This window comes from Homo sapiens, chromosome 11, assembly GCF_000001405.40.
Source record: "Homo sapiens chromosome 11, GRCh38.p14 Primary Assembly".
In the NCBI taxonomy this organism is placed as follows: domain Eukaryota; kingdom Metazoa; phylum Chordata; class Mammalia; order Primates; family Hominidae; genus Homo; species Homo sapiens.
Window position 1 is genome coordinate 70,348,610 of NC_000011.10, and position 13,276 is coordinate 70,361,885.

The 13,276-nt window shown below is 43.7% G+C and overlaps 1 protein-coding gene across 33 annotated transcripts in view; it reads left to right on the top strand.

Moving 5' to 3' along the window:
- PPFIA1 (PPFI scaffold protein A1) overlaps positions 1 to 13,276 on the top strand; it is a 113,707-nt gene that overhangs the window by 77,920 nt on the left and 22,511 nt on the right. For 11 of the 33 annotated variants that reach the window (XM_006718716.4, XM_011545309.3, XM_011545307.4 and 8 more), the window contains 5 exons: positions 1,314 to 1,430; positions 2,385 to 2,414; positions 5,692 to 5,843; positions 7,030 to 7,202; positions 7,552 to 7,645. In XM_006718716.4, the coding sequence (XP_006718779.1) occupies positions 1,314 to 1,430; positions 2,385 to 2,414; positions 5,692 to 5,843; positions 7,030 to 7,202; positions 7,552 to 7,645 (566 nt within the window). The remainder of the gene's footprint in view (positions 1 to 1,313; positions 1,431 to 2,384; positions 2,415 to 5,691; positions 5,844 to 7,029; positions 7,203 to 7,551; positions 7,646 to 13,276) is intronic. The other 22 variants (XM_011545314.4, XM_047427770.1, XM_047427772.1 and 19 more) reach the window with 3 other exon arrangements.

Consider the following 13,276-nt stretch of genomic DNA (forward strand, 5'->3'; position numbering starts at 1 on the left):
TGGCTCATGCCTGTGATTCCTCACACTTTGGGAGACTGAGGTGGGCAGATCACTTGAGCCCAGGAGGTCAAAACCAGCTGGGCAACATGGCAAAACCCCATCTTTACAAAAAGTAGCTGGGCCTGGTGGTGTGTGCCTGTAGTCCCAGCTACTCTGGAGGTTGAGGTGGGAGGATCACCTGAGCCCAGGAGGTCGAGGCTACAGTGAGCCATGATTGCATCACTGCCCTCCAGCCTGGGCAGCAGAGTGAGACCCTGTCTCAAAACAAATCCCAAAAAATATAAAAAAAAATTTTAATATTTGGATGACCAGGCTAGCATTACACCATTTGTTTGTGTGACATTAGGCATGACATCTGTGCAAAGTACAGCAGCCAGAAGGGGAAATATTTTCTGTTTTATAGGAAAAACCACTTAGCAAAAGTAAATAAAGGCAGACATCAGAGCATATGGGAAAATGCACAAAGTGGGTCAGTGCATTTCTTTCCTTTCGGAGTGCCCAACCAGCTTCCTGGGCATCTACTACCAAAAAAAAAAAAAAAAAAAAAAGGAAAAACATGAAATGGGTTCTGCATTTGAAGCCGTGAACAAGCCAGCTGCTTCGTGGCTCCCTAAGGAAGCAGATGGGCTTCTTCCCTTCACAGCTTAGGGTCACCTCTCACCTGGAAATGCAATGACCTTCTGGTGTTTGGTGTTTGCAAAGTGTGCAGATCTGAGGAATGTTTAAAACTTTCCTTTGGGCCTGGCATGGTATTTCACGCCTGTAATCCCAGCACTTTGGAGAGGCCAAGGTGGGAGGATTGCTTGAGCTAGGAGTTAAGAGACCAACCTGGGCAACATAGTGAGAACCCCATCTTTATCTAAAAAAAAACCAAACTATCTTGTATATTTAGAATTTGTCAGTGTGTTGTCAATGAAATATTTCATATTTACACCATTTGCTTTTTAACTGTGCTTCTATCATATTTTTTCCCGTTACCATCTATTTTCGTTTTTAGTTGTGTTGTTAGCCAGCATGCAATTAAATCGACGGTGAATCATTTTAGTGGCATATGAGGTGGTAACTAGTCTATTTTGCAGTGTTTTGAAATACTGTTTTTATAATTTACATCATCTACTAATTAGGTAACATTTTAAACTCTTTGACTGTTTTATTTGTGGGCTTGTGCTTATTTCTGTCCAGAGAATTCGTAAAAACAGTTGTGTATGTATATATATTTTTTCTGGTTTTGTAATTCTGTATGCTGGCTGACAGTCTCTATGCTTCCGTCATTGGTTTTGATTTCCTGTCATCCTTTTGTTTTATTATTTTAGCCATCTCCAGATTCATTTTTAATCCAGACCTCAGGTCCCCATCAGTCAGTAGTTTACTCATCCACCTCCCCTCCCAGTTCCACCCCATGCTATAGCGATTCTTCACAGCATGCTCAGGTAACCACGCAACTGTGTGTGTTCGATCATGTTTGTGAGTTTGTGCTGTGATGACTTTATTAATGGGTTGTTTTTTTCTCAGTTAAAAGTATCTTTTTCTCAATGGTAATTTAAATTAGTGTATTACTATATAGTAAGTATGGATACAGGCAAGACATAGGTGTTTAAGAGTTTTTTTACTCAAATTATGTAGGATTTGTGTAATTCATAAGTGTTTCCTACATAACTAATCTAAGCGTAGAATTAATGGAAGCTGTTTACACAAACAGTATGCTTTCTGGTTCTGATGATTGTGTTCAAGACTGTAAATCTCATCAGCCTGTTGAGTCTCATCAACTATCTCTAATAGGTTATTTTTAAATTAAAATATCTTATGTGAATCATAGGATGGATGTAAAGATTCTACCTAATATTATGCTAGCTTTTGTTCTTATATATTTTCACAGGATACCTTGCTTTAAGCAATAAATTTATTTTTGAAAAGTGGTAAATCAAATTCTAGGTAAGGATTTTACATTAATGTCCAACAGGTGATTAACTAAAAGTAGGTTTGTTCAGTTTTATAATTGGTATTGCAGTAACTTCCTCATCCGTTGGAATATTTTTAATTATAACATGGATTTTATTAAAGAAAACTAAGTTATAGAGAGGTTTGGCTTAGAATAGATGATTGTTAGGGCCTTTTATTATATAGAATGCCATATTTTAATAAAACACATGAAATAGAATTTTATCTAAGTAATAATTTATAGTGTTTCTCTAATAAACCTTTAATAACTTATATTTAAATTTTTTGGTGAAAAAATGGTTCTGTATCCAGTTACATTTTCTCTAAATCCTGTCTCCTGTCATTTCTATTTTAATATATTTGCTTATACTGATCCTTGAATTTTTAACTTCAAAGTGTATATAGTAAATCTGGTTTCTCTTCATTTCTTTGCATGCATCTATCAGCCTAGTGATTTAAGGAAACATCGTAGAAAGGTAAATTGTTTAGTAATTTAACATATCTTTGTATCTCCATAATGTATTGAAGAGTACCTATCATATTTTCCATAAATGTAGCATTATGTAGTTGTATAATAATGAATGGTTGGCGTTTTAATGGAAGTGTTTAAAGTGACCTAGCACCTTACTGACAATTGTTCTATTGGAAATTGGTCATTAGCGGTTTTCACAGAACACTGGGACAAATGTAACAGCTTGCCATTCTCTCACCTTTTCAGCCTTCTGATCATTACATGCTTATTCATAGATGTAGTAGTTTTAAAAATAAGAAATTACTAGTGCAAAGCTATAGAATGTAGATGCGGGGGGACCCATTTTCATAATAATCACAGCTAGCATTGGGCTCTTGCTGTATGCCAGGCACTGTGCTGAGTGCTTTCCCAGTCTGGTATAGGCTGAGTGTCCCTGATCTGAGATGCTTAGGGCCAGAGGTATTTCAGATTTCAGATTTGTTTAAATTTTGAAATATTTGCATTACACTTACTAGTTGAGCCTCTCAAATCTGAAAATCCAAAATCTGAAATGCTCCATTGACCATTTCCTTCAAGCATCATGTCAGCACTCAAATTATAGATTTTGGAGCATTTTGAATATCAGATTTTTGGGTTTGGGATGCTCAACCCGTATTTAATCCCCATACACATCCCTGTGAGGTTACTGTTGTTATCCCCATTTTACAGATGTGGAAACTAAAGCTTAGAGAGGCCCCACAGTGCACAGTGCAGATTTGAGTTCAGATTTGTCTGATTTCAAAACCTGACAGTTGACCACTTCACCATCTAGCCTTACTTGTCTCAGATACTCTGACCTCCCTGGCAGCGTTCCTACAGAAGGAGGTCCAAGGCCACTTCTCTTTAGAGATAACTGTGGATTGGGCCTTCCTGTTCTCGAAGGAAGTAGAGTACATTAGGAGGAGATCTGCTCAGCAGCTGTTCTTTATGTTGACCCCAAATCTCTCCCTCATAACTTTCATGCTCTGGTCTGTATTCTGTGCCCCTGTTTGAAACCCGCCTGATGGTGCAGTGACTGGACAGCTCTTCAGAGATACCTAAAGGCAGCTGTCCTCTGACAAAAGTGTGGGACCTGGTCAGCAGCTGTCTGTGAGCTGCTCTGTTGAGTGATTTAGTGAAACTGCTTGGGTTCAGATCCTAGTTCAGTCACTGATGAGTTTGTGACCTGGAGTCTGTTTGTACCTTGGTTTACTCTCCTGAGAAGTGAAGATAATGATAGAACAGTGCCACTTAAAGTGGCATTGGACCTGTGGCTGTCTGTGGTGAGATAAGGAGCTTACACCAGCAGCAACAAGACACAGAGCACGGCCTTCAGTTCAGCTGACTTCTGTTGGATTGTTTTTTCTTTATTTTTTGATAGCAAGATTTTCTCAGTGAAGGAAGTAGCATGTTGATTGACACTTAGGCATGATAACCTGGCCCTGTTGGTCACTGGTAACTTCAGCGTGCTACTTGGTGTCTTTGAGGAGCCTAGGCCTCGGGTGGTTGTGAGGTTAAACCAGGGGTGCGTGCAGAGTGCCAGGCCTTGTCTACAAGAGACTGTCGCCTTCCTTCTCTGTGTCAGTGGTGTTGGTGTAGACCAAGAGGACTTCCCTGCTTTCTAGTAGGCCTGAGCTGGGATGGAGGCAGAAGTCTGGCACGTGACAGCACTACAGCGTGTGGAGGGGTGCGGAGGGCGGCGTGTGGAGGGGTGGGAGGGCGGCGTGTGGAGGTGTCGGAGGGCGGCGTGTGGAGGGGTGGGAGGGCGGCGTGTGGAGGTGTCGGAGGGCGGCGTGTGGAGGGATGAGGAGGGCAGCGCTGGCCAGGCTCACGGGGCTTTCCCCAGACCCTGTTACCAGCTTATAGCTGGCTGCGTGTCAGCTTTCTCTGTACTCTGTTTTTGGTTTTGTTTTTTTAAAACAGATGATTGTTTTAACCTGAATTTTGAAACTTAAGCTTCATATTGATAATTTCTAGCTTTGAAAGCCTTTCATTGTTTTGTGATTGCAACTGGAAATTAGGAAAGGATGCAGGATTCATTTGCATTTTAACTGTTAGTTGAGATTCTGTCCTAAATGAGCACAGCTCCATTTTGCATTGAATGCACTTGGTCCTCCCTGAGCCACAGTGGGGCTACAGTAGGATTGATACACTTTACACAATCCCATTTAAGAAGCAGAAATTCAAACTGAGCCCAGTGGTACGTGCTTGTAGTCCCACCTACTTTGGAGGCCGAGGCAAGAATCAGTTGAGCACAGGAGTTTGAGGCTGCACCGCACCATGATCACACCTGCAAATAGCCACTGCAGTCCAGCCTGGAATCACAGCAAGAACCTGGCTCTTAAAATTTATTTTTAATAAAATAAAGTTCACTGTTCAAGTCTTGCTGTTTATAGTAATGCTTGCTGAACATGTTTTATGAAATCCAGTCCCACTCAAAACCAGAAAACACAAATGTATAAGCAGGATCTGCCTAGACCCTGCAGGGGTGAGTCTGTTCACTGTTGTTAACCACCATCCTGCTCCCTCAGCACATGGGCGTATTCACGTTCCACTGCAAAAACAAAAAAACCCTGGGAGTCTGACAAAGATCATCTTGTAATGATAAGCCTAGAAGTATTTTCTTTTAAGCTATATTGAACAAAAATGTTTAAACTGCATAAAAGTGCTTGAATTTATAGTGTCCATCCAAACATTGAGAAATATGAGCCATACACATGTGTATGGGGGTCATGGGCTGTTCCTTGTTTATTTTTACCCCGTTCAGACAAAAAAGGTATTTGACAATTTTGCCCAAGTGGTTTCTTGCCCTCTCTAGTGTTTCTTTTGAAGGACATCAGGAGATAAACGTATTTGTTACTGGCTCTTCATTAGTGCAAGTTAATGCTGTCTCACATTTGTAACGATGTGGTTTATCGGTGTTGTTCAGATCTCTGCTGCCCCTTCAGAGACTGTCCTCATGATGTGCCTAGGATTCCGGGGAGGGCAGAACCTTGGGCTGCATGGAGGAGGCTGAGGATGAGGGGCATACCTGTGTCCTGTTGGGCCCCAGCGCACGCTCGTGGGGAGGCAGACCAGGAGTCTGACAACTCTGTGGTGCTGTGCTGCGTGGCCCTTCAGAATGGTGCCAGACTGAAACAAGACTTTCTGTGCTGGCAGAAAGCACAGCAAATCGATTTTCAAAGAAGTTTATGGCTATAATTTAAGGCCTGAGTTTTTCACAGTCTGCTGTTAACTAACTTTGCACTTCTCTCACCCCTCAGTTGCCACCTTCCAGAGAAGAGGTACGAGATGACAAGACAACCATAAAGTGTGAAACCTCCCCGCCTTCCTCCCCGAGAGCCCTTCGGTTAGACCGGCTGCACAAAGGGGCGCTGCACACCGTCAGCCACGAGGACATCAGGGACATAAGGAAGTAAGGAGCCTGCAGCAGCCCCATGCAGAGCGCACCTGTCTTTTCGTTTCTGGTGTTGAGAAATCGACAAATCTTTCCTTGAGTAAAACAGTGATTTTGTAGAATTACCCATTAATTCAGTTGAGTGTATTTACATGTTACACTTAGAATGCTTACCACTGCTCTGGGCTATAGTGAAATCCAGCAGAAGATGCATATCTGTTTGGGCAAGCTTAGTTTGGAAAGAAAGGAGTTAAATGATATCAGCAAGTTTTGGAAAAACTTCATGTCTTCAGAGTCTATAAATTGACTACTTTCTATTCTTGATGGAGAGTTTGGCAAGCAGATGACAGGCTTGGTATTGGAACCGCTCTCTAGGACAACCCGTGCCTTTCTTGTGCCTTTTGTAAACTGTGGAGAGTTCCAAGTTGTACTTACCAATTTAGTGAGTGTCCCCTCTCAGGAAACCAATCAGCTGTTTTGTTACTAGTATGCTATCTATGCTATCTTTTTTTTTCTTTTTGAGATAGAGTCTTGCTCTGTTGCCCAGGCTGGAGTACAGTGGCATGATCTTGGCTCACCACAACCTTCACCTCCCGAGTAGCTGGAACTACAGGCGCACACCACCATGCCCGGCTAATTTTTGTATTTTTAGTAAAGATGGGGTTTCACCATGCTGGCCAGGCTGGTCTCGAACTCCTGAGCTCATAATCTGCCCGCCTCGGCCTCCCAAAATGCTGGGATTACAGGCGTGAGCCACCGCGCCCGGCCCCTCTTTTTTTAAATTCCATTGGATTTCGGTTCTGTGCCAGGCAATATGCAGGGGAGGCATGTATATTAATTTTTGCAGTAACCCCTCAGGCAGTTAACATTGCCACGGTTCTCAGCTGAGTAGAGTAATGCTCAGGGCGGTTGTGGGAGCTGCTGGAGGGGAAGCAGGCAGACCATTGGGCTTTGGCACCTGATGGCGCGGAGTCAGGGCCTCCCCTGAAGGGGAGGGGAGCTCCATGTCAGAGAGAGTCTCAGCTGCCCAGAATGGGTCTCCGCGCTGGCCTCGCCGGGAGTCTGCCTTTATCATGCATGATGCACTTGGTGAGGAAGATGTGTGTGAAAGAGACTGGAAGTGCTTGTAGGGAAGTTTGCGACTGTTAATATGTGAAGTATCCTACAAGGGCACATAGTAAAGATCCGTTTTCTTTCCTCGAAGCTCCACAGGCTCCCAGGATGGTCCCGTGAGCAACCCCAGCAGTAGCAACAGTAGCCAGGACTCGCTCCACAAAGCCCCAAAGAAGAAAGGCATTAAGTCCTCCATTGGCCGCTTGTTTGGCAAGAAAGAAAAGGGCCGACCTGGACAAACTGGCAAAGAAGCATTAGGACAAGGTTGGTTGGTTTTCCGCACCCTTCTCAGCACCCAGGGGTCGGGGAGGAAGGCACTGCCTTCGGTGCCATCAGTTCCCACGCGGTGCTCCAGGAGCCGTGTGCTCTCCAGGGAGCAGCAGCTGTGAAGGCATGGGAGCTAGAGAGCAGCAGTTTATGCTCACTTGCCACTCAGGTACAACACATTTCCTGTCTTGAGCATTTCCGTCTTGGGCATTTGGTTGTCTAGTCAGAAACTTAGCCTTAAGAAATGATTTAAATCTGAACCTGCAAATATTCATCTGCCTATTTATGAAAACATAGAGCTTTGTCATGCTGATTTTTACTTCTGGGCTGTTCTGCTTCCTCACAGCTGGTGTTTCCGAGACGGATAACTCATCTCAGGATGCCTTGGGACTTAGCAAATTGGGGGGACAGGCTGAAAAAAATCGTAAACTTCAAAAAAAGTAAGCTTTGTGTTATTTCTTCATCTCATTGAATGGTTTTCAGTTGTGCCTAAGCTCTAACTAGTGTTTGTTAATTATAATAGCTAGCTATGTATATATACATTATATTCTGAAAGCTTTACCTACAGCCTTAATTAAGCCGTACTTTCTGGAAGATTTAGTGTTTGTGAAATTTCGAAGAAACTCACACTGGTATCCCTATCATCTTGGAAAGCTGTCCAACCAGGAGATAGGGTGGGTGAGAGTTGGACTCAGCTGCCTGAGCACTGGAGTCGGCCCTGGCGCCTGCCCAGGTTCACTTTGTGACGTTGAGGAAGTGGCCTAGCATCTCTGTGCTTCAGTTTTCTCATCTGTAAAGTGGGGATCCTAGTAGTACATACCTTGTATGGCTTTTATGAGAATTAAATGGGATAATGTGCATACAGTTCTTTAAACAGTACCAGCAAGTCATAAACAAGTTGTAGCTGTGGCCAGTGCAGCGACTGTTGCTTGCCAGCATTCAGGATTTGCTCTTCATACTGCTGGTCTGTCCGAAACAGTCGCCATGCTGCATTTTTCTCTCTTCCGTAGATCGGGTAGTTTTATCTCAAATAGACTCCTGATTTTATAGCCCGTTTATTCAGCTTTAATTCTAAACTAAGTCTGCTTCTGACAATAAGCTCTAATATTTGGGATGGCTTTGAACAAAGGAGAACAGGCATTGTGATGCCCCAGGGTGAGGACGTGGAGGAATCGGGTTTCTGTCCCTGGGCCTTCTGGGATGCGGGGTGAGTTGCGTGTTGGCTGACTGTAGATGAAGTAGATAGGCTGAGACAGTGCCCAAGTGAGCCAACAAATGTAGAACAAAACTAAACCCAGTTCTGCAATAAAATAGGCAGTTTGTGTAGTCCATGGGATAAGGGCTGAGCTTGAGCAATGTGGAAGATGGTAATGCCAGGCTTACAGGGTGAAACTTGACGGGCTGTATGATGACTGTGACTGTGGGAAAAATCATCTGGCCACTTTTAAGTGCCCTGAGAAACCAGTGCTCATCTGGAAATTGGGGCCCAAAGATGCACCAGAGCCTATGGGGACCCTCTCCCCTAGAGGCCCCTTTGCCTTTAGCCCCTAGAGTTGCCAGCTGATTTTTTTCTGTTGTGAAATCTATCTCATTTTAGTTTTCTTTTCAAAGCCTTTATAAATGCTGTATTGATTATATTTTAGGTAAAATGCTTTTATGTTAACAGTACCATAGGAATACTCAGTTTTTTGGTTCCCTGTAAATGGAAATTTATAGAAACCACGTAACAGCAAAATCTGATTTGAACATTGCTATGCTTGAACTGTGTAAGAATTTTTTTTTTTTTTTTTGAGATGGAGTCTCGCTCTGTCACCCACGCTGGAGTGCAGTGGCGCAATCTCAGTTCACTGCAAGCTCTGCCTCCTGGGTTCACACCATTCTCCTGCCTCAGCTTCCCGAGTAGCTGGGACTTACAGGCGCCCGCCACCACACCCGGCTAATTTTTTGTATTTTTAGTAGAGACGGGGTTTCACCATGTTAGCCAGGATGGTCTTGATCTCCTGACCTCGTGATCTGCCCGCCTCAGCCTCCCAAAGTGCTGGGATTACAGGCGTGAGCCACCGCGCCCAGCCAAGAATGTTTTCAAATAACTTGGGTAATTGCCATTTGGCCCTGTGAAACTTAATGTTAGAGCTAAACTTTCTGCCTCCTGGAAACATGCTAGGAAAATTTCATTCCTTAGATTTTGCTAATGTTACTGTTTTTATGATAGTAAGTATGAGGAAGTGAAATAAAACTTCTCTGTCCTTTATGTTGTGCTTGGGATCCATGTGGAAGTTCTGAAATGTACCAGCTCCTTAGTGGGGAAAATTTCCAAGTACAAAGATTATTTGTCTGACTATAGAGGGCAGTTTCGTTTCTTTCACTTAAACTGAGATAAAACTGATTTTAGAAAAAGTGCTTTATTTATTGATTGATTGATTGAGACGAAGTCCCTCACTCTGTCGCCCAGGCTGGAGTGCAATGGCACGATCCTGGCTCACTGCAACTTCCGCCTCCTGGGTTCAAGTGATTCTCCTGCCTCAGCCTCCCAGCAGCTGGAATTACAAGCGTGTGCCACCGTGCCCAGCTAATTTTTTTGAATTTTTAGTAGAGATGGGGTTTCACCATGTTGGCCAGGCTTGTTTCGAATTCCTGACCTGAAGCGATCTGTCCACCTCGGCCTCCCAAAGTGTTGGGATTACAGGCGTGAGCCACCACGCCTGGCCTAAAATGTCTACATATAAATGTGAAAAAAAGTTTGCGTTTTCCAGAAAAAGTATTGTGTGAATACAGTTTAATATTTATGCCATCTTAAGAACGAACGTATATTTCTCAGAATTATTTTCTTCTTATTAACCCCTGATTTAACTCAAAGGTGTGTTTTAACTGCAAAATTTACACAGCCAGATGCTTTCACTTACAGAGAACTTAAGGAATCTGGTGAGTTTGGTGGCAAGCTGATTTCAAGTTTTGTAAGACACAGCATGGTGGGCGCGTTTGGTGCCTGGGATACGTAGTAATGAACCCGCAAGTCGGGGCTGGCTGTCCTAGAGCCATTCGTCAGCTTTGATAGCGCATAGTGCCTCCACAGCACTTTTAGAATTCCCCAGCGTTCTTGAAACACCATCTCTTGAAGTAACCTTGCTTTTAAAGTGTTCCCTTTTCATGTTCTCCTTTTTGTCTTCGTAGTGCTTTCTCAGGGTAAGCAGACTCGGGAGATTTGCTGGGCTGAGTGTGGGCAGTCACCAGCCACAGGCTCTATGCTGAGCTTCCTGAGAGGATCTTTTTATTTTTTTATTTTTGCCCTTGCAAAATAAAAGAAGGCCCTTGCACCGTTGCCCAGGCTGAAGTGCAGTGGCGCGTTCACCACTCACTGCAGCCTTGACCTTTATTTTTAGTAGAGACAGAGGTCTCAATATGTTGACCAGGCTGGTCTTGAACTCCTGGCCTCAAGTGATCTTCCTGCCTCTGCCTCTCAAAGTGTTGGGATTACAGGCATGAGCCACCACACCTGGCCCAAGGATCTTTTTAGTTTTGCATGAGAAATGCTGACTCCATCCATTTCTCATCAGGGCGACCCTACATCTTTCCTCAGGACTCTGCCAGTGTGCCATGGCAATGGAGCATGGGAGGGGCTATGCCTGGGTCACAGAACTGTACTTGTGGTGGTGGTGTTTTTTTATGGGTTTTGGAGAGGGTCCTGCTCTGTCACCCAGGTAGCAACTGTACCTGTGAAAGCAAGTCTTGTTCACTCTATGCAGGGTGCCAGAGGATTGAAAAGCTTCAGTCTTAAGAAAGTAAGGCAATATATTTAGTTTCGATAGTTGAGAGAAAGTACTTCCTCCCATCCCTTACATACTGTTTGATCAGCAAAAACTCACACAAGCTTCTCATTATGAAAGACAACTTTACCGTTATGCTATGTCTTAATTATAAAATGCACAACATTATTCACAAATTATATGACCTTTTTGCATTATAGCATTCTCAGTAGCAAGTGAAAGAGCCAAGTCTGAGATCAAGCAATAAAGGAGGAATGTAGTTGTTCATGTAAATGAACGGCCCAGAGGGCCAGGGTGGAGTGGCTTCAGCCATCTCCAGGCTCTGGACTCTGCATCCCCTCGACACAGGGGCCTTCTTCCCGTGATTGGAACAGTCCCCCCAGAGAAAACAGGGGCTCTGGTGTTCCCACCTGGAGTGCCAGCCCAGGGGCATGGTCCCATGTTTGGTCTTACAGATCATGGACTGGTCTGATAGGGGAGGGGAGCCAGGACACACACCGAGGCCTGGGCCCGCCACCCAGATGGGGTCTCCTCTGCCTTCTCCCTAACTTCCTGTGACTCTTAGACACATCCGTCTACCTCCACTGTCTTAACACTGTTTCCACTGTTGCCTCTGGACCCAGAAGCATCTCCATTCTGGAAAAGACTTTTTATAAAAGCTAGTGATCATTGCCAGGAAGAGGGTACTGGTGAAGTCTAGGACAGTGTACACCAGTCTCCAAGTAATAGAAGTAAAGAATTATTTTTTGACAATTATTTTTATTTACAGTGAGTATCTATTACATGTTAAAAAACGAAGTCTCTGGCAGAGTGCCAAGGCTGAGCGTAAGTTGGGAACCCTCCTGACTTGGCAGCAGTCAGATCCTCCCTGCGCCTTGGCCAGGCCCCGGACGCTCAAAGCCTTAGCAGTTAACCAGATTGTTAGCGTTCAGAGCTTTTTCTGGGATTGATGTGGCAGGAATTACCTGTACTACTTCCTAGACCCACTGGTGTGTGAAGGAAGCTCTACTGGCTGTCTTTGAGTGGCATTTGTCCCAAGGGAACGGAAGGCAGGGTTTCAGCCACCACCTGGTGATTGGCGCCATGCAGCGCGCCCTTCCTCCCAACCTCTTCATTTCGCATCTTGCGATACCACTTCATACTCCTAAGAAAAGTCTGCTGCTATTGAAATGTATTGAAGAGCCAATATCAAATTTTTAAAAATAAGAGATTCTATGGTATATGTCTTATGAAATTATTATAGAAAAAATGGACTAAAAGCAGCCTAGGGATGTTTGAATGACTTGGGGATATCTGTACTTGCAAACCAAATGTATGTGTCCTCTCCATTACAATGACACCTTCTCTCTGAGACTTTTTATTTTTTAAAACAATTAGCCTCTTTGAAAGCCTTGTAGGTAAACACTTGAGAAATAAGATGAGATTCACCAAGCTTATAGTGTTATTTCTGAAATACCTATGTTAGAGAGCATTATGTTAACCTCTGATTCTGTAAGGAGACGGGGATTCTGTAGAGAGTCAGAGGGAGTCATTCAGTATTTTCTCACTCAGGCATTCTTTGTAGTATGCACAGAACTAGTGTGAAATGGATGGTGTTGATACTGTTAAAGCTGTAGAAGATGAAAGGAAAATGATGAGCATGTATAGTCGTCTCTCAGAGTCTATGGGGGATTGGTTCCAGGACCCCTCCTGAATACCAAAATCCATGGAAGCTTAAGTCTCCTGTATGAAATGGCATGGTATTTCCGTATCACGTAGGCATAATCTCCTGTAGACTTCAAATCATCTCTAGGTTCTTTACAATACCCAACGGAATGTAAGTGCTATGTAAATAGCTGTTGTACTGTATTGGTTTTTTTTGTTTTTTCCCACTGAATATTTTTGATCTGCAGTTGGTTGACTGTGTGGATGTGGAAGCCGCAGATACAGAGGGCAGACTGTATACTGCTAGACTTTTGCAAATGCTCAGAACACTTCGTTAACTAATTTTATATATGTGTATAATAGTGGTTCCTTGATTTTGTTTTTGCTGGTTGTAATTTTTTTTTTTTTTTAGAGATAGGGTCTCACTCTGTTGCCTAGGCTGGAGTGCAGTGGCACAGTCATGGCCTACTGTAGCCTTGACCTCCTGGGCTCAGGCAATCCTTCCACCTCAGCCTCCCAAGTAGCTGAGACTACAGGCATGCGTCACCATACCTGGCTGATTTTTTTTTTTTTTTTTAATTTTTGTAGAGATGCATCTCATTATATTGCCCAGGCTGCTCTTGAACTACTGGCCTCAAGCAGTCTTCCTGCCTCAGTCTCCCG